At 36.9% G+C, this 27,291-nt stretch overlaps 1 protein-coding gene across 2 annotated transcripts in view; it reads right to left on the bottom strand.

The window, feature by feature from the left end:
* THSD7B (thrombospondin type 1 domain containing 7B) overlaps window positions 1–27,291 on the bottom strand; it is a 912,174-nt gene that overhangs the window by 91,791 nt on the left and 793,092 nt on the right. For both annotated transcript variants that reach the window (NM_001316349.2, XM_047445935.1), the window contains exons 16-17: window positions 22,574–22,707; window positions 13,372–13,522 (exon numbers count right to left, since the gene is read on the bottom strand). In NM_001316349.2, the coding sequence (NP_001303278.1) occupies window positions 13,372–13,522; window positions 22,574–22,707 (285 nt within the window). The remainder of the gene's footprint in view (window positions 1–13,371; window positions 13,523–22,573; window positions 22,708–27,291) is intronic.

Here is a 27,291-nt window from a genome sequence, read left to right as displayed (position 1 = left end):
TCAACATTAGACAGATCGAGAAAGAAAGTTAACAGGGATATCCAGGAATTGAACTCAGCTCTGCACCAAGCGGACCTAATAGACATCTACAGAACTCTCCACCTCAAATCAACAGAATATACATTCTTCTCAGAACCACACCGCACCTATTCCTAAATTGACCACATAGTTGAAAGTGAAGCACTCCTCAGCAAATGTAAAAGAACAGATATTATAACAAACTGTCTCTCAGACCACAGTGCAATCAAACTAGAACTCAGGATTAAGAAACTCACTCAAAACCACTCAACTACATGGATACTGAACAACCTGCTCCTGAAAGACTACTGGGTATATAACAAAATGAAGGCAGAAATAAAGATGTTCTTTGAAACCAACGAGAACAAAGACACAACATACCAGAATCTCTGGGACACATTTAAAGCAGTGTGTAGAGGGAAATATATAGCACTAAATGCCCACAAGAGAAAGCAGGAAAGATCTAAAATTGACACCCTAACATCACAATTTAAAGACTAGAGAAGCAACAGCAAACACATTCAAAAGCTAGCAGAAGGCAAGAAATAACTAAGATCAGAGCAGAACTGAAGGAGATAGAGACAAAAAAACCTTTCAAAAAATCAATAAATCCAGGAGCTGGTTTTTTTGAAAAGATCAAAAAAATTGATAGAGTGCTAGCAAGACTAATAAAGAAAAAAAGAGAGAAGAATCAAACAGATGCAATAAAAGAATGATAAAAAGGATATCACCACTGATCCCACAGAAATACAAACTACCATCAGAGAATACTATAAACACCTCTATGCAAATAAACTAGAAAATCTAGAAGAAATGGGTAAATTCCTGGACACATACAACTTCCCAAGACTAAACCAGGAAGAAGTTGAATCCCTCAATAGACCAATAACAGGCTCTGAAATTGAGGCAATAATTAATAGCCTACCAAATAAAAAAAAAGTCCAGGACCAGACGGATTCACAGCCGAATTCTACCAGAGGTACAAGGAGGAGCTGGTACCATTCCTTCTGAAACTATTCCAATCAATAGAAAAAGAGGGAATCCTCGCTAACTCATTTTATGAGGCCAGCATCATCCTGATACCAAAGCCTGACAGAGACACAACAAAAAAAGAGAATTTTAGACCAATATCCCTTATGAACATCGATGCAAAAATCCTCAATAAAATACTTGCAAACCGAATCCAGCAGCACATCAAAAACCTTATCCACCATGATCAACTGGGCTTCATCTCTAGGATGCAAGGCTGGTTCAACATACACAAATCAATAAACATAATCCAGCATATAAACAGAACCAAAAACATAAATGACATGATTATCTCAATAGATGCAGAAAAGGCCTTTGACAAAATTCAACAGCCCTTCATGCTAAAAACTCTCAATAAACTAGGTATTGATGGGACATATCTCAAAATAATAAGAACTATTTATGACAAAGCCACAGCCAATATCATACTGAATGGGCAAAACTTGGAAGCATTCCCTTTGAAAACTGGCACAAGACAGGAATGTCCTCTCACACCACTCGTATTCATAGTGTTGGAAGTTCTGGCCAAGGCAATCAGGCAGGAGAAAGAAATAACTGGTATTCAATTAGGAAAAGAGGAAGTCAAATTGTCCCTGTTTGCAGATGACATGATTGTATATTTAGAAAACCTAATCATCTCAACCCAAAATCTCCTTAAGCTGATAAGCAACTTCAGCAAAGTCTCAGGATACAAAATCAATGTGCAAAAATCACAAGCATTCCTATACAGCAATAACAGACGAACAGTGAGCCAAATCATGAGTGAATTCCCATTCCCAGTTGCTTCAAAGAGAATGAAATACCTAGGATTCCAATTTACAAGGGATGTGAAGGACCTCTTCAAGGAGAACTACAAACCACTGCTCAACAAAATAAACAAGGACACAAACAAATGGAAGAACATTCCATGCTCATGGATAGGAAGAATCAATATCATGAAAATGCCCATACTGCCAAAGGTAATTTATAGATTCAATGTCATCCCCATCAAGCTACCAATGACTTTCTTCACAGAATTGGAAAAAACTACTTTAAAGTTCATATGGAACCAAAAAAGAGCCCACATTGCCAAGAGAATCTAAGCCAAAAGAACAAAGCTGGAGGCATCACGTTACCTGACTTCAAACTATACTACAAGGCTACAGTAACCAAAACAGCATGGTACTGGTACCAAAACAGAGATATAGACCAATGGAACAGAACAGAGCCCTCAGAAATAATACCACACATCTACAACTATCTGATCTTTGACAAACCTGAGAAAAACAAATAATGGGGAAAGGATTCCCTATTTAATAAATGGTGCTGGGAAAACTGGCTAGCCATATGTAGAAAGCTGAAACTGGATCCCTTCCTCACACCTTATACAAAAATTAATTCAAGATGGATTTAAGACTTAAATGTTAGACCTAAAACCATAAAAACCCTAGAAGAAAACCTAGGCAATACCATTCAGGACATAGGCATGGGCAAGGACTTCGTGTCTAAAACACCAAAAACAACGGCAACAAAAGCCAAAATTGACAAATGGGATCTAATTACACTAAAGAGCTTATGCACAGCAAAAGAAACTACCATCAGAGTGAACAGGCAACCTACAGAATGGGAGAAAATTTTTGCAATCTACTCATCTCACAAAGGGCTAATATTCAAAATCTACAAAGAACTCAAACAAATTTACAAGAAAAAAAACAAGCCCATCAAAAAGTGGGCAAAGGATATGAACAGACACTTCTCAAATGAAGACATTTTATGCAGCCAACAGACACATGAAAAAATGCTCATCATCCCTGGCCATCAGAGAAATGCAAATCAAAACCACAATGAGATATCATCTCACACCAGTTAGAATGGTGATCATCAAAAAGTCAGGAAACAACAGGTGCTGGAGAGGATGTGGAGAAATAGGAACACTTTTACACTGTTGGTGGGAGTGTAAACTAATTTAACCATTATGGAAGAGAGTGTGGTGATTCCTCAGGGATCTAGAACTAGAAATACAGTTTGACCCAGCCATCCCATTACTGGGTATACACCCAAAGGATTATAAATCATGCTGCTATAAAGACACATGCACACGTATGTTTATTGCGGCAGTATTCACAAGAGCAAAGACTTGGAACCAACCCAAATGTCCAACAATGATAGACTGGATTAAGAAAATGTGGCACATATACACCATGGAATGCTATGCAGACATAAAAAAGGATGAGTTCATGTCCTTTGTAGGGATGTGGATGAAGCTGGAAACCATCATCCTCAGCAAACTATCACAAGGACAAAAAACCAAACACCACATGTTCTCACTCATAGGTGGGAATTGAACAATGAGAACACTCGGACACAGGAAGGAGAACATCACATACCAGGGCCTGTCTTGGGGTGGGGGGAGGGAGGAGAGATAGTATTAGGAGATATACCTAATGTAAATGAGGAGTTAATGGGTGCAGCACACCAACACGGCACATGGATACATATGTAACAAACCTCCACGTTGTGCACATGCACCCTAGAACTTAAAATATAATAATAAAAAAGTCAAATAACTATTTCCTACATTTAACAAAACTAGTTTAAAGAATATAAAATGTTGAAACTTAACAAATTATTTTAAAATTAGCATACCAGTAATGCCAAATATGTTGATGGGAAGAATAAGAGAGACAGAGATGAGAGAGAAACATCTTGAACCAGAACGTCCTGAACCAGTTAAGAAAATGATAAACTAAATAGAATTTAATTAATTTATTTTTATTTATCTATATTTTATTTTTTGAGAATGAGTCTCCCTCTGTCATCCAGGCTGCAGTGCAGTGGCGCCATCTTAGCTCACTGCAACCTCCTGCAACCTCTGCCTCCCAGGCTCAAGCAATCCTCATGCCTCAGCCTCCCGAGCAGCTGGGATTACAGGTGTCCACCAACACATCTGGCTAATTTTTGTATTTTAAAGAGAGGGAGTTTTTACTATGTTGGCCAGGCTGGTCTCAACTCCTGACCTCAAGTGATCCACCTGCCTCAGCCTCCCAAAATGCTGGGATTACAGGTATAAGCCACCATGCCCAGCAGATTTCATTTATTATTATTATTTATTATTATTTTTTTTTTTTTTATTTTTTTTTTTGAGACGGAGTCTCGCTCTGTCGCCCAGGCTGGAGTGCAGTGGCGGGATCTCGGCTCACTGCAAGCTCCGCCTCCCGGGTTCACGCCATTCTCCTGCCTCAGCCTCCCAAGTAGTATTTTTTATTTTTATAATTATTATTTTTGAAACGGAGTCTCTCTGTGTTGCCCAGGCTGGAGTGTGGAGTGCAGTGACGCTATCTCAGCTCACTGCAGCCTCCACGTCCTCCATTCAAGCAATTTCTCCTGCTTCAGCCTCCCGTGTGTCCTGCCTCAGCCTCTGGAGAACCTGGGATTACAGGCATGTGCCACCACGCTGGGCTAATTTTTGCATTTTTAGTAGAGATGGGGTTTTGCCATGTTGGGAAGGCTGGTCTCAAGCTCCCAACCTCAGGTGATCTGCCCGCCTTGGCCTCCCAAAGTGCTGGGATTACAGGCGTGAACCACTGCACCCGGCCTATAATTTAAATTAAAGTTTAATTTAAGAATTAATGTGTATTTCAAAACTAGAAGCTCTGCTTTATCATACTTATAAATGACAAATTCTAAAAATAATATCAGCAATAATAAAAAGCATTTAGTAGAACTGAGTAATCATTTTTGAACACATACATACTTTAATATATTGTATATATACATACATTTAAAAAGAAATTCACAGAAAATATTAAAGATAATACACAATGAGTATTTGTTTAACAAAAGCTCAGACATATTATATCACCTGATTAAAGCCAGTTGATAGAGTTTGGATATTTATCCCCACCCAAATCTCATGTTGAATTGTAATCCCCAATGTTGAAGGTGGGGCCTAGTGGGAGATATTTGGATCATGAGGGTGGATTCCTTATGAATATTTTGGGCCATCCCCTTGGTGATAAGGGACCTCTAGCTCTGAGTTCACATGAGATCTGGACATTTAAAAGTGTGTGGCACCTCCCCCAATATTCCCCTTCTCTCTTGCTCCTGTTCTAGCTATGTGACCTGCCTGCTCTCACTTCACCGAAGTAAAAGCTTCCTGAGGCCTTCCCAGAAACCATGCTTCCTGTACAGCTTGCAGGACTGTAAGCCAATTAAACCTCTTTCTTATAAATTACCCAATCTCAGGTATTTCTTTACAGCAACATGAGAACAATCTAATATACCAGGAAAAGATAAAAATGATTTTTGATTTTTAGCACTATTTAGAAAGTTCTTCCTAATAAAGTATGTATGTCTAGGAAAGATAATGTGAATATCAAGAAAGGATAGGTAAAAGTCATTATTGTATATTATATGGGTGTATGTCAGGAAATCCTAAGACTATGAACCAATTTTTTAAAAACTACTAGTAGAATTAATAATAAAATTAAGAAAACAGTTGGATGCAAGATATTCCTGTAATACCAATATAACACCCATTTGTTTCTTCAGACATTTGCACTAACCAATTAGATACACAGATGGAAGAAAACACCCCATTAATAATAGTGATGAAAAAAATCTCAATTCACATGATATTAAATGTAACTGGGTACAGCAAAAATAGAAATAAAACTCTTGCGAATATTTTTTTAACATATCTAGAAAATGGAATCCAGAAACTAGTTGGTATAGGAATATTCATTTGAAATTTAATAGAACTTGTGTCAACATATACAAAACTAAGTAAAACATGTTTATGTATTTTCAAACAATTAAAATATTAGAAACATATCTTTATACAGTAAACCCGGGATTTTTTTAAGCAAGAAAGAAACTTAGTATCATAAAAACTAAACACTTTTATATGACAGAAGATACCACAAATTGTGTTAAAATTTAATTGATAGGTAATTTTGGTTAAATATGGAAGAGTATATAAAACTCTTTCCAGGAATACCACTAAAATGATATTAAAAGGATTAAAATGAGAGTGAAGACATTTGTTTATAAAGGTGTACAAACAACAACAATAATAATATAAGGACCTAATAGTAATAACATTTAAGAAGCTAGAAAACTTATCTGATAACTGACAGCCGACTTGAAAGTACTGAATTCCAAATCAGCAATGGGTAAATTGGAACTTGATTTGGACTCTATAGCCTCAAAAGACTAGGAATTTGAGCATCAAGTAAAACTGAAAAAGGAATTAAAAGTAGTGTTCAAAACTAGAGAACTAATTGAAAGTGCATCTGTCAGTAATTAACCCGTCTATATTAGGGTTCTCCAGAGATACAGAATCAACAGTGTGTGTGTGTGTGCGCACGCGCGTGTGTGTGTGCATGTACTCACGTGCATATTAATTTATTTAGGAATTGGCTCACATGATTATGAAGCTTGACAAGTCCCAAGTTCTGCAGTCTGCAAGCTGGAGACCCAAGACAGTCAATGGTGTGGTTCCAGTCCAAAGGGCCTGCTGGCTTTATACCCAAGAAGGACCAATGTTTTGGTTTGAGTATAATGGCAGGAAAAAACCAATGTCTCAGTGTAAGGCAATCAGGCAGAAGGAGTTTCCTCTTGCTCATGGGAATGTCAGCCTTTTTGTTCTACTTGGGCCTTTAACTGTTTGGATGGAACTTCATTATTTGGGAAAAGTAAAGCAGAAAATCTCTACAATGGGCACAATTAAGCATGGTGCTACCATTTTGAAAATAAAATGATTAAGGGAAACACTGCTCATATACTGGTACTGAGACCCTCTAGAATATGTTTTCTATTTTGTCCTCCAAATATTGTCAGCCAGGATCATATAATCCAGATAATATTCTCTGAAAACTGCAATGATTCCAAGATTTGAAATAATTTGAGCTATTATTTCTTCAAATATTTTTCTGTCCACTTCCAGGGCTCTAATTATGCAAACGTTAAATGACTTGCTGTTGTTGTACAGATCACTTAGTCTCTATTCATTTCTTTTCCATTCTTTTTTTCTTTCTGTGCTTAGTAACTATGTTTTCAAGTGAAAACACCTATATAGCCAGAATAGAGCTCATGAAATAAAATGTTACCTTGTAAAAAAGAAACAAACAAACAAAATATTACCAAAACCACCTAGGTCCCTATCATTTCCCCTCTCTAGCCAATAACCAGTCCTAGACATTGTGATTGTAACACTGCTGAATGCTTGGGTGGGGTGGGGGCTGGTGTCTTCCATTCGAATGTGTTGAAGTATGTTTTAGCAGGCAGTAATGTTACCTGTGGATCAGCTTGGTCTTTCTGTGGTTTGTCTTTAAATTTCATTAGGGAAATTCTGGAGTAGACTTTAAGGTAAATTTAGCCCTCCTGCTAAGGCAAAACCCTTGTTAGGTCATTAACAAATGGTCTCAGAGCTTGAAGAGGTATCACTGTTCACACTACATGAAATTGAAATGTCTCCTAGACCTATGTGAGCTTTAGAATATGTACATCTTGCAGATTCTCAGAAGTCATTCTTTGTCTGAACTTGGGGAGTTTCACTCCATGAATGTCCAAATTAGTAGTTAGCTAAGAACTCCAGGAGGTCCCATATAGATATCTAGATCATTTTGTTTGCCTAGCTCTTTTCTTTTCAGTATTTTGTGTCTCAAATTTCAACTTCCTGTACCTCTCCAACTCTGGTTGCTGGATCCTCACCATGGTCTCCTTGGAATCTCGTTCCTTTCATCACCATTCAGAAAGTGCCTCTAGCTAGACAGCCATGGTGATTGTAAGGCTCACTTCATTTGGTTTTCTTCCTCAATCACCAGAGTCCCATGCTACTCATCCAAAGTATCAAAACTGTTGGTTTATATATTTTGCCCTTTATAACATTGTTTACTATGGAGCATAAATCCAGTCCAAAGAAATCCAATGATATTCCATCACTTTTAGATGTGAAAATTCTCTTCTCTCTCCAATTCTCTTGAATCGCGTTACAATCGTGCTAGTTTAATGAATAATCAGTTAATTAACTTTTGATACTTTGTATGAGTCACGTTTTTAATTTTTTGAAAATTATACTTTTACAAGGTATAGAATTATACTTTTACAAGGTGTAGAAAAGTGTTGTTAGGTGTAGTTGTTGTCATTAATCATTCTCTCTTAGGAAGATATATAGAAGTATTTATGGCTGAAATAATATAAAATGTGGGATATGCCTTAGTCTGCTAGTAAGAAAAGGAAAGAGAAGTGGGGGAAGAAGAGATAAATGAAATAAGGTTTGTCATATGTAGATAATTGTTGAAGCAGGATGATCAATGTATAGGGCCCATCATAATGTTTTTTATAACTGAGAATTTCATGAAATAGAGGTAGAGATAGAAATGGAGATAGAATGGAAGGTGTCGGGGCAAAGGGAGAGACAGATGGAAATTGAGGGCAATGGAAGCCTTACTTTGTACTCCAAATTGATGATATTGAGAATCAAAGAAATCAGACTGTGTAAGAAAGAATGATAACAAGCATATTAAATATCAAAAACTTGAGGAGCCTAAAGACTGCTTCTATTAGATTGTCATTCACTGCTCCAATGCACGAAATGAGGCACCCTTCTTGCAGTGCCTCATATGGTTCTGGAAGTAATAGTGGCTCTAAGTGATAATACATCTCACTGCACACAGGGGTAAAATACGCTGCAAGCCCCTGAGTAATGAATTACTGTCATCTGACAAGGGCCAATATCAATTTAGCACATGCAACCAGAATTTACACTCCAGATTATAGAAAGTTATCATCATTCTCATCCTCTGGCTTTCAGCTTGAATCAAAGAAAAGAACTAGGTAGTATGAGGGTTGTAATCATTAGGCACCTCCTCCAGAGACAAATACAGGTTGCCATCTGCGTGATAAAGACTGTTAGGTGAGGTTGAGGAAGTGCTTAGAGCTAAGCTCTAGTACTAAACATTGGGATAAATTGCTTCCCTGAAACATAATTTACACAGGTGATGCCAAGGTGCTGAAAATACTGAGTCATCAGGAATAAAATGTCATTGCTCACAGCCTTTCCCCAAAATAACACTGGAGCACCATTAAAAAAAGGGGGGGGGGTGTTTTTCTTAACCTCAAATGCTTAATTATAGACCACTTATCAGAAAACCGGCATGCATTTCTCTTTCTCTTCTAAAGCAGGGCATTTGCCTGAAGAAATAATGGCAGCTTCTGCATTGGCTTTCACTAGTATCTCCTGCACACATAAAGAGTTACAGAAAAGAATAAAGCACAGAAATAAGGTGAATTTTAAAAACACAATATTCAGACTGTGACAGAATCCAGATTCCATTGCACTTAAGCCCTATATAGTTTCTTTGCAAAGTCTTCCTTTGTGATCGTTTCTCACAGATTGTTCTGGTGATAATTCAAAGATTTTGGTCACTTTTTGATCATGAAGTTTCCTTGGGACCACTGTTTAATGAGCCTCTAATTCCCACTATGTGAAGGGATGCTTGGCTACAGTTCTGGCCAACCCCTGATACATTCAGCTAGAGGTGAATCAAAGTTCAAACAGGTTTGCTAAATCTAAGTCATCTTTCTGGAGTGGGTTTGCAAAGTCTTGCTTCTGCAAAATATACAACAGTTTGGAAATTCACTTCCAATACACTTGTCCTATCAATATCAATGTTTAGGAAATTCCTTTGCCAAGACTCCAAGGAGAGATATAAATAGAAAATCTGTGTTACTCAATGGAAAATTTCAGTAAGGATTGGTAGCATAAATGAAGGCAACCCAATATTGTTTCAGATACATAAGTGGCTAATCAACTTCAAATGTTCCAAGATATTTGCATCCAGAAATTTATAAACTTCTCTTGAAGAATAGATGATTCTATGAATAATCCTCAGCATAATTCTGAAGTATGTAGGATCAGGACAAAAACTGGAAAAAATTAGTTAGGTAAAAGAGAACATTGGGTGGTAAGTAATGAACTACGAAATGTCTGTATATTTGTATGTGTATGCATGTACTTACATACATGTATAAACATGTATACACACACATACTTTTAAAGAGTAAACACTATTAGGAAGGTTATTGTATGCACAATTACACAACTTTCCTTTCATAGTAAAGCATTCTAGAAAAGTAAGCATGTTAAAGTAAAAATATATATATATATATATGTGTGTTATGGGAATAAGAAAAAACATGAACATAAAACAAAGGAAACAAATAGTTTTTCATTTTCTTCAAATTCCTCCTTGAATTGTATTTGTTTTTGCTTGATCCATTTATGGTTTTCCCAATACAGTTTTAAAAAAATGGTCCCAGTACAATTTTTAATGCCTTTGTCTTATTTGTTCTTCTGTATGGTTTGCAATTGGTAGTTACTGTCAGGTCAGTAATCCATTCATTCAAAGTTATCTTTGTGATGCATTGTTTTTAAGGACTACTATTAAATTAGATATAAGTCATGTTTCAGTAATGGAGGTGACATTTTATTTCTAAAAGATCAAGTAATAACTTATTTTGTGCAGGGGAAGGGATCTTTCCTGTATAGCTTAAAAAATGTACTGCTCCCTGTCTGGGATTTCCCAACCATGTGGCAAACAAGGTAAGTGGGAGGGGGCTTTGTGGTGGTTCTTCTTCATCACAATTCTGTGTTAGGTAATAACTTATGAAATTTATTTTATACATATTATATCTAATTTTTTAAACAATCTGAAAAAAATAGCTATTATTGTCCTCACTTCCCAGTAAGAAACCTGTAACTCAGATGTTTAAATAACTTGCTGCAACCACACTTAAATACATGTTCAGCTTATTTATGTGTTTGTCTCTAAAGAAGTATCTTTGGAGGAGAAAATACCCAACAAATAGTGAATTTGTCCCAATATCATATGTCACACTGCAGACTATCAAAGGAGAATTTGGTAAAATAATGGCAAATATTAAAGATCCTTAAATCAGCTCATGTTCTACAGGACACTTATAAAATAATTGTTTCCTTTTTCTAATGAAATGCACATTGAAGTGCTAATTAAATTACAGGCACAATGATTTAGTTTGCTGCCTTTGCTATAATCATTCTCATTATCATTGTCCAATACTGACTGGGATTGTCCTATGATGACGGGACATTATGCTAAGATCTTGCAACTTAACTAAAGTTATGCAATATACCTAGATTTAGGGAAAATAATCAGGTATGAGCCCTAATTACCATTTTTTCACTTTGAAGTTTACATTTACATGGGAAAGTACAGCATAGCATCTGAAAAGGACAAGGCCATTGTGGTCAGACAGACCTGAGTGGCCATGGACAAGTGTTACATCATCATAGTGCAATGTTGTTATAAAACTTAAGAGTTACATGTAGCTTTCAGTATAATGTTGGTTATATAAGATATGCTCAATAAAAGTCTGTATTGTCATTGTCATAGCTTCTATCATTATGTAACTTGGAAGGTACATAAGCAGGTAAAGGAACAACCTTCCCATTTCATGCTGACAAGTGAGTAACTATGTTGTCTTTCTGACACATGAAAGGAGGTTAAAATATTTTCTCTACCTCCAATTTCTAAACACTCCAAAAATTAAATAATTATGTTTCGAAAAAGAAGCCTTGAAAAAACAAAAACCCAAAAGAAGCAAACACAGAATGCTAAACCTTCACAACTTTGTGTAAAACGTTCTTACAATAAAAATTTTAGCCCAGTGGCCAGATACCTTAAGACGGCAATGTTTTCATTGCGAAGTGATTAGAGCTTAATGGAGTCTTCTGTGAGTAAATTAGAAAAACAAAAGTGAGGAAGATCATGACCTTACATTTAATTAAACTTCTTCAGGCTGCTAATTCTTCTATAGGTTGATTAATAAAGAGTGGTACTAGCACACTTTCTAAAATATAAACATAATACTCACTCATGGAATAATCACACAGATAACTAAAACAGCTACCCTTCTTCTTCAAATAAATATTGCATTTTAAACAAAGAAAAGTATTGAGTCTAAATCCACCTTAATTTTTCCAAGATAACTGGGCCGAGAATATAAGAGCAAAATCTCTGGCTTCATCAATAGAATAATGTTCATTCTGAGCTCATCACTTATTAAGTACAAAACTTTGTGCAAACCACTTAACCTTTCTACACATCAGTTTCTAAGCTGAACAATGAACTAGTAATACTACCAACCTAATAGGATTAGTACGAGTACTAAAGGGAATAGTTCCTACATGTACCTTGCACAAAATAAGTGGTCAATAAATTTTAATTTTCATTATATTCAGGTTACACACAAAATAAATGACTTAGTAGTACAAATATCCCACTTCTACAAGTTATTCTTATCAGTTTCTCTTCATGTCAATATTATATTGCTCTAAAAACAACTCAACAAATAAAAATAACAATAGAGTGAAATCTCTTTCAGGAATAGAATTATACAAATATCAAAGATAAGGGCTCAATATTTAATAAGGAATCAATAATTTGAAGCTCTAAACATACGATATTAACTGATTTTAAAGATATTTTCCATTTCCATACAGAGATTTTCATAGTCTTTCCACAAATTATCACTATGACAATCAAGTTCAAAGTATCCTAATTTTCCTTTCTAATGTTTGAATTCATATAATTTGTTCCTAATCCCCACTTTCATTTTTTTCAGTGTTTACTTTGAAGTATGAGTATAAAACATCAGAATTTATCTTCTGGGAATAGTAAGTTGAAATATGCTCCTTGAATAATATTTATTTTGCCATACTCCTGTTGTGCTTCCAATTTTTTAAGACTTTAAAAGAAAAAAATAAAGGTATATCCTTTAGTTTTTTTTTTTTTTAAGGTATTTTTGTTAGCTTTGGAAGAAGTAGAAACATGGCAAAAGAATGCCTCATCTTCAGGAAAACAGTAAAAGGCAAAAACAGATCATCACTAACAGAAGCTAAATCACACAGTGGAGTTGAGCTCCTAAGATGTAATTGATTCTGCCAGGATAAAAATGGAACAGGACCAAGATATATTATAAGGAGAATCATTTTGTTACTAAAGAAGACTCCTTTCACAATGGGTGCACAGTTGAATCCTAGTGTGATCATTATAGGCTCATTTTCCTTGTTCATGTAACTGTGATAAAGGCCCTGGAAGAAGGACTGGCATTTTAAATTGCTCAGTCTTGCTTGCAGACTTTTTTTTTCTTTTTTTCTTTCTTTGGATTTCTCAAAAAGAAAAAAATTATTTTCCCATGTTACTAGAAGAATGCTTTGGAGACTAGCACTGTGAATGCACAACGAACAACAGTGAAGGCAACAATAGATTATCAGAGCATTGACAAAGAAAGAGAAATTACCTGTGGGCATTTGCTCCAAAGTCCCCACTCAGACATGACACACTCATTGGGACACATAAGAGAACAGGACTGGGTTTCTGGGGGAATTTCATCCTGGTTGCACAGGTTGCTATCCACTGCTCCACCTTCACCATCCGCAGTATTCACACATCTGTAAAGCAAGGTCACAAGATAGTTTGATTATTTAAAACAGTGGAGAGTATATTTAAAATAGTTATGATGTATCATAGTAACTGACGATAGTTAAATATAACATAAGACCAGCACAGAAACCAAGGGGAACAAAACTTTCCTCCTTTAGTCAGTCAGGCTTTGTGAGCATTAACTCAGTACAGAACCATTTATTCATCAGGGCAAGGGAGAACAATGGAAAGACTAGAGGCAATGGTTGACCTTGGACTAAAGGCAATGGTTGACCTTGAAGAACTTTATATTTCAAGAGACCTGCAATACATTTACTCAGGTCCAGCACTGAGTGCATATTCTTTTTATTGTAATGAATCTTGAAGGCTCTCCTTCTCTGAATAAATCCATCACTTTGTGATAGCTAGAACCTTCCTACTTCCTGTGGCTTTCTTAAACCTTTCCCAAACTTCTATCTGATACCATGTAAAATTTCCTAAACTTTATCCCACCCATTTTTAAAGTCATGGCAAAGTAATATGAAAAATATCTGAATAGGTATTCTTTCAGGTAACTTCTGCATTTCAGTAAAGAATTTTTCAAATCAAAAAAAAACAAAGGGCAATGAGCAAGTATTTTCATGCAGCAATTAATCACATAGCACAGATGTATGCATCATGGGTGCTTGGCCTACTCTGTGTCAGGTTTTGAGATAAGTACTGGCAATAATGAGATAATCACACTATTGTTAAAGATGAAGAAGATTCAATCAAATTAAAACCAAAGTGTTATACCACTATATGCTTGCCAAAATGGATTAAATTGTAAAAACATGGAAAATATCAAAAGCTGGCAAGAATGCAGAGCGATTATAATTAATTCTTCTCATGCTGCTGGTGGGAGCATAATCTGTTTTGAAAACTGGTTGGCAATGTCTACTAAAGCTAAACCTATACATACTATGTAACCCAACAATCCACTTATATTTCTATAGAAATGCATATAAATGTGTACCAAACCAAAAACCAAAGCTGACTGAAAATGTTCATAGCAGCACTATTCATAATGAACCAACCTAGAAACAGTCCAAATGTTCAGCAAGAGTATAACCTATAAATATATTATAGTAAATGCCATAAAGTGATGAGAATGAATGAAAGAATATGAGTGACAGTCAAAAATATAATGTTGAACCAAAGAAGCTAGACACAAAAGAGTACATATGATCCTGTTCCAATGAAGTTAATGAATAGGTAATACTAATCTAGGGTGTCAGAAGTCAGAAAAGTGGCTACCTTTGAGGAAATGGTTAGTGACTGATAGGGACTTAGGTAGTCTTGATAACATTTTGTTTCTTGACCTCTGGGCTGGTTACACAGTTGTGTTCACATTGTTAAAATTCATCCAGCTGTACCCCTATGATGGGGGCATTTCTCTCTATTTATATCACATCCCAAATAGAAATTAATTTTATAATTATTTTTCAAAATGGTTTAATAAAGACTTTCTATGTGAAAATATCTTTTGCTAGCTGTTGGGATACAAAGTTGTTATTTGTCAGTGATTCATTTAGTCAATATTTTTGATAGCTTGCTACATACTAAGTCCTCGCCTGGGTGTTGGGGTACAGAACTGAAATAGAGACAGACATGATCCCTAGCACTATAAGTATTTTGTTCTAGTGATAATGATAAAGATAAAGATGAAAATGGCAATGATGATGAAATAAATCATGCCATTTGCTGATCTAGCAATTCAGATACAATGTCAAGGTTAAGAAATAAGCACTTTAATAACAATACGCTAAAGAGCTTTTGGTGCTCCCTAGATCATGCTATGCTAATGAATTATCCTGCACTTTAAGAGTTTCTTTTATACACACATTAAAAACAGAAAAAGAGATTGAGACCATCCTCGCTAACATGGTGAAACCCTGTCTCTACTAAAAATACAAAAAATTAGCTGGGCGAGGTGGCAGGCGCCTGTAGTCCCAGCTACTCGGGAGGCTAAGGCAGGAGAATGGCGTGAACCCGGGAGGCTGAGTTTGCAGTGAGCCGAGATCACGCCACTGCACTCCAGCCTGGACGACAGGGCGAGACTCCGTCTCAAAATAATAATAATAATAATAATTAATAATAATAGTAATGATAAAAGAAAACTCCAGGAGCATTTCAAAGTAGCTAATCACATACTGAAAAATAAAACAAGCTTTATGAGTTGCTAACTCATGAAAAGTTAGATAGTATAAAAGAGGTTAGCAGAGAATGGTATACAAAAAAGTTGTAATAATGCCTTCTAATATAGGGACTTTAATTCTATGGACTTTAATAACTATGGACTTTAATTTCTTCTGTGGCAAAAGTCAATAGTAGAAGGAAAATCCATGGGATAGCTTAAATGTCCTTTCCTGGACAAACTTAAAAAAAAAATAAAAACTGGAAATTGCTTCCCTTCCTGCCTGCACACTATCTGCTGATGTTCATTTATTATTTCACTGAAAAAGAAGAGGGAAGACTTCTGGTTAATGAAATCCAGTGAATGTACATATTAGTCTCCATTCACTCCCAATATGCTACAAAAGCAATAGTAAAGGAATTTGTTACCAAAACAATAATAATAATTAATAATAATAATAATAATTGGGAGGGAAAGGCATTACTCCACAAGGACAGAGAACATGGGAGAGGACAAGTACAAGAAATGGAAAGTAGACGGGCTCCTGGTAACTCCTTAGCGCATCTGAAAAAACTGATACTAAACCTTCAAAGGGAAACACCAAAAATAACTCAATTTACAACACAGAACAAAGAAAAAATTCTGGAATTCATGGCACCAAGTACCTCTGGAAATGAGGATGAAAATGAGGCTTAAAAAAACTGAAGGATTTATTGAAAGTATAAGAAGTACCCAAACCTTTAGATCCTCTCCCCTGGTCCACACAGGTAAGTGATTGCCCATCCCCTCCCCCTGCCGGTGATTGCTGGTTTACTATCTGGAGAGGGTCACAAAAGGGTCTTTGGACTAGAGAACAGCTGGTGCACTTAATGGGGACACCATCCTGTAAACAGAGGTTTAAGTAAAAGTTTACATACTGCAAAAATTACCACAAAGTTAGTGGCTTAAACCATGGAACTGTATTATCTTATAGCTCTGTAGGATGGAAATACAACTTGGGCCTCATGGGCTAACATCAGAGAGTCAGGTATCAGCAGAGCTGCACTCCTAGAGAAGAATCTCTTTCCTTGCCTTTTCCAGGTTCAGGGGACACTTATATTCTTTGGGTGACCCCTTTCTCCATCTCCGGAGGCAGCAACACTGCATTTCTTGGTGCCTGGCTTCTGTAGTCACATCTTCCACCCTTTCTTACCTCCACTCTTAAAAATCCTGTGAATACATTTTTCCCACTGGACAATCTAAGAAAATCTTCCCATCACAAAGTCCTCACCTTAATAACATCTGCCAAGTCCCTTTTGCCAAAGGTAGCATATCCATAAAGTCCAGGAATTAGGATGTGGACATCTTTGGGGGCCACCATTCTCTCTATAACCCCAGCATTCCTGTTTCACTAGGTTTCCAGAATACCGGCTGATATGGTTAGGCTTGGTGTCCCCACCCAAATCTCATCTTGAATTGTAATCGCCAGGTGTTCAGGGAGATACCTCATGGGAAGTGATCGGATTATGGGGGCGATTTCCCCCATGCTGTTCTCGTGACAGTGAGTGAATTTTCACGAAGTCTGATGGTTTTATAAATGGCAGTTTTTCCTGTGCTGACACTCACTTTCTCCTACTGCCATGTGAGAAGGTCCAAGCTTGCTTCCCCTTTGCCTTCCACCATGATTGTAAGTTTCCTGAGGCCTCCCCAGCCATGTGGAACTGTGAGTCAACTAAATCTCTTTCTTTTATAAATTAACCAGTCTCGGGTATTTCTTTATAGCAGTGTGAAAATAGACTAATACACTGGCTGTTAGGATTATCTATTTCACATATGATTTAATAAGAGGCTTTACTAGGTGTTCTGACAAGCCCGAGAGTAAAGACTTCAAAATATTTAAATTGAGGGTGTTCCTGAATGGAAATGCAGTTATCCACTACATATCCTGCACCATCAATTTCCTTGCCCATCTCCCTTCAGTCATCACCTCACTTTTACTCAAATTCATTGCAAAACTGCTTTAAGGCATTGTCTATATTTGCTATCTCCACTTCCTCCCCTCCTCTCCTCCCGCCTCCCCAATTATTACCTCTTAAACTCACTTAAATCACACTTTTATTACCATTCCAGAGAAACCTCTTAGTGAGATCATCAACAAACTCCCCATTGCCAAACTCAATGGTGAATTCTTATCTCAGTAAACCAAAAAGCCTTTGAAACAATTGATTACTATGTCTTCTTGAGTAACTCACTTGTCCATCTTCTCATTTTCTTTGTTTTCCTTCTATTCCAGTTTTTTTCTTAGTCTCACTTCTAGAATCTTCCTATTTGCTCTAATCCATGAATGTTGGAGTTCCCCAGGACTCAATTTCTTCTCAATAAATACTAAATTTATAAGCTAATGGTGCCCAAATTTATATTCTAAATCTTTCCTCTGAACTGGACTGTAATAGTTCAGTTGGAAAGCTACTATCACCTCAAATTTAATGTGTTCAAAAGCTAATTTTGATTTTTATCTCAAACCTGCTTCTAATGTTCCTCAACTCAAAAAATTATGCCATTATTCCTAACGTTGCTCAGGCCACACCACCTAACAGACATTTTTGAGGCTTCCTTTTTTCCCCACTCTGCAATCATTTTATCACCAAACTCTGTGTTCTACACCTTCAGAATATATTCCAAATTTGACTTTTGCATCACCTTCACTTTTACTAAATCGATTCCAACCATTAACTTCTTTCACCTGGAATTCTGCAAGGGCCTCAAAACTGTATCCCTTGCTGTTCTACACTACACTCTGAAAATACCTTCCCTATACCACATCCAATAAGGCTCTTTTCAAATGTAAATAAGAGGCCAGGCAGGGTGGCAGATCACTTGAGGACAAGAGTTCAAAACCAGCCTGGCCAACGTGGTGAAACTCTCTTTACTAAAAATACAAAAATTAGCTGGGTGTGGTGGTGGGCACCTGTAATCTCAGCTATTTGGGAGGCTAAGGCATGAAAATTACTTCAACTTGGGAGGCAGAGGCTGCAGTGAGCTGGGATTGCGCCATTGCACTCCAACCTGGGTGATAGATCAAGACTCAGTCTCAAAAAATAAAATAAAATAAAATAAAATAAAATAAAATAAAATAAAATAAAATAGAGCATGTCACTCCCCCACATCAAACCTTCCATAGCTTCAGGTTGCAGTTAGAATAATATCCAGTCTTTATCTTGTTTGGGTACTGACACTAGTCATATGGGACAGCTTGTTACTCTGTTAATAAGCCAAGAAGGCTCCTGCTTTTTACTCTCCTTGTCCCTGGAATCCTCTTTCTACAGATCTTCATGCTTATTCAGGTCTCTCACTATATTTAGGTTTGTGCTCAAATATTTTGCTGACCATCTTGCCAAAATAATACTCCTGATAACTCCAACCCAGTTTCGTTTTTCTTTTTTGGCATTTCATAGCAAAGACATTTTATTGAATATAATTTATGTGTTCATTTTTTTCTCTACTGCTATTATAATCATCAGATTATCTCTACTGCTATTATATTACATCAGACCAATCAGACTGAATTTTTATGTAACAAAGTTGTGAGTTGTTTTTCAGTTGCCATGGGTCCCTTACACTAAAGGTTATGAAACCCGATGGGCATGCCCAGATGAACTAAGTACCAGTGGAATGTAAGTACTCAGAAGAGGGACTGAATTAAGAGGTGGATACTGCATGGCAGGATGTAGGGTTAATCAGGTCAAGTCCCTGGCATCACCCCATAGGAGGGTCCACTCAAATCATGTCTCTCAGCACCACCTTATTGCAAGATCCAATCAGATCATACCTTGTTATTTATGCTTATAAAACATGACCCAACCCCCAGCTCAGGGAGGCAGATTTGAGCATTTCCTCCTATCTCCTTGTCAACAGACTTACAATAAACTTTCCTTGCTGCAAAAACCTGGTGCTTCAGTGTTTGGCTTTCCACTGCATGTGAGCAAATGGACCAAATTCGACTCAATGACATTATATTGTCAATTCTTAGAGGACAAAAATGTTATTCACTATTTTATCTGATGTGCTTAGGACAATATCTGATACATAGAAGGCAAATATTCACAAGTATTTTTGATTTAATAATTGATTCTAGTCATGGATAAACCATGAAGATGCTCTACAGTTGGAAGGTTTTAAGAAAGAGAACAGATGAGCTATTCCATTCATTATAAGACTTTAAGGTCAATAATAGTTTAGAATGCAAGGTAACTGGAAGATCTGCTTCACATATTTAAAAGTAATTACGTACATACAGCATGGTGCATTGTGAGTATGTATGTTTTCTAGGGCTACCTCAGTGGGTTGAATGTGTTCCCCAGATTTCACATATTGAAAACTTAATCTCTCAAATGTGTATGTTGATTGGAGATGGAGCCATTGGGACATAATCAGGATTAGATTAAGTCATCAGAGTGGAGCCACCATGATGAGACTGGTGGCTTTATAAGAACAGAAAAAGAAAGACCTGAGCTAACATGCAAGATTTTGCCTTCTCTCCATGTGATGCCCTCCACTTCATTTTGATACAGTACAAAAAGCCCTCGCCAGAAGCTTCCACCAAGTGAGAAGGACATAAATTCTAGGGGACTGGGGCAGAATGATATGGTTTGAATATGTCACTCTAAAATTCATGTGTTGAAAATGTAATTGCCAATGTAATAGTACCAAGACGTGAGGCCTTTAAGATGCAATTGAGTCTTGAAGGTGGAACCCTTATGAATGTCATTATTCTAGTGTTGAGTTCTTATGCAAGTGAGTTTGTTGTCGTGGGAGTTGACTGTTGTAAAAGCAAGCTTGGCTCATTCTTGTGGTCTCATTCTCACATGCTTGCTTGTCCTTCTACTTTCCAACCATGTTATGAAAGAGTACTAAAACCCTTGCCAGAAGCTGCTGCCATGTCCTTGGAATTCCCAGCCTCCAGAGCCATGAGCCTAATAAATTTCTTTTCTTTATAAATTGCTAAGTCTTGGGTATTCTGTCATAGCAAAATAAAAAGAGCTGAAACATATACCATAATAAAATACCACAGACTGGGTCACTTAAATGACAGAACTTTATTTTCTCATAATTCTGGAGACTAGAAGTCTGAGATCAAGGTGTAATCTGGATTTCTTTTTTCTCCTGAGGCCTCTTTCCTTGGTTTATAGATGGGCATCTTCTCCCTGTCTTCACATGGTCTTTCCTTTATGTGTCTGTGTCCTAGTCTTCTCTTCTTATAAGGCCACCAGTTAGAATGGATTAGGGCCCACACCAATAACCTTATTTTACCTTAATTACTTCTTTAAAGATCCTATTTATTTCCAAATGGTCACCTTCTGAGCTACTGAGGGTTCTAACTTAGACATATGGATATTTTTTGTGGGGAAGGGGTTGGAAAATATACAATTCATCCTATTGTAGAATAATGCTTCATAGTTATTATACTGTTTGTATTATATCGGGCTCTGTAGGTTTAAGCTGAGGCATATGACTGAAAGGCCTTCTTGTTCAAGTGTGTTTTCCTCAATCAACCTTCCACAATTCTGTCCATTGCAATTTATTCTCCTAAAGCTTTTCTTTTTCTCCTGAGATTTTCCTTGAATATTTCTAAGAGGCCTGAATAGGATACAAGTAGGAGATGCCACAGCTCATTTACATACTACTTTACAAGCTAGGTTGGTCAATCGTTTTTCAAAACCATGAGAGAATAAGACACAGGAGACAGAAATTTTAAAAAGAAAAAGGTAAAAGCTCCAAATTTGCAACAGCCTGAGCATCTGAGTTCCCAGAAGAAAGGGCAATGTACAAAGGGAAGAAAGATAATTTGTCCATTAGCCATTTGCTTGAGCTGGTGAGGAGAAGCAACTTTCTAATTTTGCTAGCAGCTCTTCCTTTCAACATGACTACCAGTGATTTTGCAACATTGAGACTGTCATAAATAGTGAGTATGTACTGATTTTAATGAATAAAGTACGTTTCACAGATGTTGAATAACAATCAATGACATAACTAGGCTCTGCCTTGCAACTGACTTTCAACAGTTAACTCAATAGGCAGCTACCTGATTTAGACACTGACTGTCCATTTGAAACACAGCTTCCTAAATCTGACAAAATAATACACTATGCATGTGCAATAGTTAACTAAGTTATGCTTCTTATTTATTTTACATACTAATCATTATGTATAAATATTGTAACTTCTGCTGTTTTAATTGTCTAATGTTCATTGCCATTATCCTCAGTTGGTAAGGACATCGTTCTTCTTTCTTTCAAAATCATTTCAAAATAGACCATCTTGACAAACTCAGACCATGTATTTCCTTTGGTTAACACTGCTATATTTCTAAACCAAAAACTTTAAACCAGTTTCCTCAGTAAATAATCTAGCATTCACTAAATTCTCTCAGAGATGTGTTTCTCTTATATTAACATGTATTGCTACTGTTCATAGGTATTCTCAGACTTTAGTTTCCAAGGCTAATCATGGGGTTTAAATTAACCTTTTTAATTATCAACATCCAAAATTAAGAAAATGTTCATCAACTATACTAACCATAATGCAAAAAAGACCAATGGCAACACAGTCAGAATCTCCTAATTTGTTAAGAATAACGGCCATGAATCAGTGGAGTGACAGCAGCCTGCTCCATTGCAGGTGGTTCTCGCACCAATGTCATTTGCAGGATACGCTAAAGGATTGTGGCTGCACTGCAGAGGGAACCCCACTATACACATGGCAGGTAAGGATGCACTTATTTCAATGAATATTTCAAAGATGAGAAAAAACCAGAGTATATGTTATGAAAATCAGAGTGTACTTGGATAAACATCACTGTTGTTTTTATAAAAAATGTATAAGTTCCACTTCCCCCTATTTCCCAAATCTCTCCATTTTCACACACCTGATTTTCCTAGATTGTGTTCCTCCTCCACAGCGCAGGGACCTCAGCTCATTGTTGATTTTGCATGAAGACCAGTGTTCTACAACCCAGGAATACTGATTGCACTCACTGTAACATGGGACTGCCTCATGTACCTGTCAAGAACAGGAAAGAAACAAAATTATGTGGAACTATCCAACTTATAGAAAAATAGCCTATCTTTTAGTAATGCTTGCTGAACATAACCCAAGAAACTGCACTCTGGCCCAAACAGCCAAATTACTTTCCCAAAAAAGCAAGATAGATTTGGCTTCTCTGAATTTACTGACTTGCCTAAAGAAGCATACAGGGGAAATCAACTAAAATATGATGGCATGCTTTCACAGAAGAGAACAAAGGACGGTCATTTCCTAGTGCCAAGAATAGGAATTCCATTATCATTTCATTTCCTCTGAGAGCTCACACAGCATCTATTAGATGGTCCAGCTCTCAATTGTATGGTATATTGTATTCTCAGATGTACTTTAACATGTCAATTGAAACAAACATATATAAGGAAAATTATTCTTGAATATAAGGAGTTCTTACAATGCATAAGAAAAGTGATATGATTTGTACCGGAAATTTCTTTTTATGCCCCCAAATGATCAATGCTAACAGGCAATCATTTAGCCTCCTGGGTATTGTGGCTTCATATAAATTTAGCTATATGTAGGATGTTTTCAGAGTGTAGCTAAAACAGATACACACACACACACACACACACACACACACACACACAAAGAGAAATACTGCTAAACTGTTACTGGCTCTGCATGATTACTGACTATGAATATTTACAATTTTATGGTGAAAACAATGAGTACAGTAAATGAATTCTTAGGTTACTTCCTATGCATTTGTTTGTGGTGATTTTTTTTAACTGAAATTGTATCCCAGTGGGCAGCCAATTGAGTTTGTCTACCTCTTTGTGGCTGCATTTCAATTGCATTGCTCCTTTATATGAGGAACAGTGCTCTTTCTAGGTAAGAAAAAGAATGCTCTTCCATTGCATGATCACAAAGATGGCTCAATTATAGGCCTGCTTACAAAGAATGGTTCCACCTATCACCAATGTAGTTAATTCATGCTTTTCCTTTTAAATAATAATTTAAGTCTCAATCCTTTCCTCCTCTTGCCTTTCTAATTCCATAAAATTGTAAATGATAACTAGGTTGCACTATCCAAACAGAACCATTGCTTGTATGTTTTTACTAAATGCAAAGGAAGGCACTATGTAATAGGATAATCAAGAAACAAGATTGGAGCACTGTCAGCATGTTAGGTAAAAATCAAATGAGAAAAAGTGATTTGCAAGACTACCTCTGAAGAATCACAAATAATGTCAGAAACTATTTTTAACCATCTGGTTCTACTTGGCTGTCTCACTTAGAACTCACAAGAAGATAAAACACAAAGTAACAAATATGTGAGGACAAAATGAAAGATGGGAAAATAGAAGTGGAAATGGGTGTGTGGAAAGAAAGGAATTAAGTAATAAAATAATCACATTTCATGCTGTGAATGCTGGCAAGAATGGAATGAAAGGGTCAGAAGCAGTTCCTACATTAGAATAAGGGGGTGATATCTTATACCTAAGAAGTCTTTCCCATAACAGTCATAGGATAGTAGATGTAAGAAAATAATCTATAAAAATGAAGAGATAGGACCCCAACCAAACATACTAAGAAATTGAGCTGATGACAGCCGAGGGTTTAGCTGATCTGACTGCATCACGACAACGATGCTTTCACTGAATTTATGTTTTCATCATCTGAACCCTTTAATATCTGTTAATTAAACAAAGCTTTTTGGATTTTCCCTGAGATAGAAGAGAGCACCTCTGCCAAAGTGCTTTGTACAAACAGGGCTGGATGAAAAACTTAATTTGAAAAGTAATTTATCCTATATTTCATGCATGAATTTAAGAGCAAAGGGTTGAGATAAACTCTCTGAAATGAAAGTATTTTTTCTAAAGCTATCAATACTAAGTAGAACTTAGATTTTCACCTTCCCTCCCATATAAAGCCCCAAGGTCAAACTAAAAATGAAAAACTGTTTGTTTAGTTGCATGTACCTTTGGTATAAACATTTGACCACCTGATTGTATATTGGTTTCTTGCTTATATTCTTTATGCTCCAGTTGTCTGCACCTGCAGCAGGATAGCTATCTGCAATGTCAAGCTATTGGAAGACAGGGAGAATGTCTGTATAGGAAGATGTGGAGATACCTTCTTGAGTAATAGCATTTAAACAGCACCTCTTAAACAAGATTCTACATTCTCATGGAATTACTTGAAAATTTTCCCCATATGTGTCTATCATTTAAGAATTGTTCATGCTGTTCATTCTAGCTGACAAATCCTTACCCTCTTGCTTTAAAGCCCAAGTTAACCCCATCACAACACAAGGCTCTTCCTCTGACCCCAGTTAGTGTTTCTTTGGGATGCAGTCACAGTCCCAGCTTTAAGCCAGATAATAAAGCCAGAGTACACATGTTTGGGGCTGGGCAGTGGTGTTGTTAGGGACACATGGTGGGCTGCTAGGGGAGCAAACACTCAAAAAAGTCAGCACCTGGACTCCTTTGTGCATCTTTTAGCATTTCTTTATATATATATATATTTTATTATACCTTAAGTTCTAGGGTACATGTGCACAACGTGCAGGTTTGTTACATATGTATACATGTGCCATGTTGGTGTGCTGCACCCATTAGCTCGTCATTTACATTAGGTATATGTCCTAATGCTATCCCTCTCCCTTCCACCCACCCCACAACAGGCCCCGGTGTGTGATGTTCCCCCTCCTGTGTCCATGTGTTCTCATTGTTCAATTCCCACCTATGAGTGAGAACATGTGGTGTTTGGTTTTTTCTCCTTGAGATAGTTTGCTGAGAATGATGGTTTCCAGCTTCATCCATGTCCCTACAAAGGACATGAACTCATCATATTTTATGGCTGCATAGTATTCCATGGTGTATATGTGCCACATTTTTTTTAACCCAGTCTATCATTGTTGGACATTTGGGTTGGTTCCAAGTCTTTGCTATTGTGAGTAGTGCTGCAATAAACACACGTGTGCATGTGTCTTTATAGCAGCATGATTTATAATCCTTTGGGTATATACCCAGCAATGGGATGGCTGGGTCAAATGGTATTTCTAGTTCTAGATCCTTGAGGAATCGCCACACAGTCTTCCATAATGGTTGAACCAGTTTACAGTCCCACCAACAGTGTAAAAGTATTCCTATTTCTCCACATCCTCTCCAGCACCTGTTGTTTCCTGACTTTTTAATGATCGCCATTCTAAATGGTGTGAGATAATACCTCATTCTGGTTTTGATTTGCATTTCTCTGATGGCCAGTGATGATGAGCATTTTTTGATGTGTCTCTTGGCTGGATAAATGTCTTCTTTTAAGAGGTGTCTGTTCATATCCTTCACCCACTTGTTGATGGGGCTGTTTCTTTCCTGTAAATTTGTTTGAGTTCTTTGTAGATTCTGGATATTAGCCCTTTGTCAGATGAGTAGATTGCAAAAATTTTCTCCCATTCTGTAGGTTGCCTGTTCAATTGGATGGTAGTTTCTTTTGCTGTGCAGAAGCTCTTTAGTGTAATTAGATCCCATTTGTGAATTTTGGCTTTTGTTGCCATTGCTTTTGGTATTTTAGACATGAAGTCTTTGCCCATGCCTATGTCCTGAATGGTATTGCCTAGGTTTTCTTCTAGGGTTTTCATGGTTTTAGGTCTAACATTTAAGTCATTAGTCCATCCTGAATTAATTTTTGTATACTGTGTAAGGAAGGGATCCAGTTTCAGCTTTCTACATATGGCTAGCCAGTTTTCCCAGCACCGCTTGTTAAATAGGGAATCCTTTCCCCATTTCTTGTTTTTGTCAGGTTTGTCAAAAATCAGATAGTTGTAGATGTGTGGTATTATCTCTGAGGGCTCTGTTATGATCCATTTGTCTATATCTCTGTTTTGGTACCAGTACCATGCTGTTTTGGTTACTGTAGCCTTGCAGTATAGTTTGAAGTCAGGTAGCGTGATGCCTCCAGCTTTGTTTTTTGGCTTAGGATTGACTTGGCAATGCGGGCTCTTTTTTGGTTCCATATGAACTTTAAAGTAGTTTTTTCCAATTCTGTGAAGAAAGTCATTGGTAGCTTGATGGGGATGGCATTGAATCTATAAATTACCTTGGGCAGTATGGCCATTTTCACGATATTGATTCTTCCTATCCATGAGCTTGGAATGTTCTTCCATTTGTTTGTGTCCTCTTTCATTTCATTGAGCAGTGGTTTGTAGTTCTCCTTGAAGAGGTCCTTCACATCCCTTGTAAGTTGGATTCCTAGGTATTTTATTCTCTTTGAAGCAATTGTGAATGGGAGTTCACTCATGATTTGGCTCTCTGTTTGTCTGTTATTGGTGTATAAGAATGCTTGTGATTTTTGCACACTGATTTTGTATCCTGAGACTTTGCTGGAGTTGCTTATCAGCTTAAGGAGATTTGGGGCTGAGATGATGGGATTTTCTAAATATACAACCATGTCATCTGCAAACAGGGACAATTTGAATTCCTCTTTTCCTAATTGAATACCATTTATTTCTTTCTCCTGCCTGATTGCCCTGGCCAGAACTTCCAACACTATGTTGAATAGGAGTGGTGCAAGAGGACATCCCTGTCTTGTGCCAGTTTTCAAAGG

Source organism: Homo sapiens, chromosome 2 (assembly GCF_000001405.40).
Source record: "Homo sapiens chromosome 2, GRCh38.p14 Primary Assembly".
NCBI lineage: Eukaryota > Metazoa > Chordata > Mammalia > Primates > Hominidae > Homo > Homo sapiens.
This window is presented reverse-complemented; position numbering and strand designations above follow the sequence as displayed.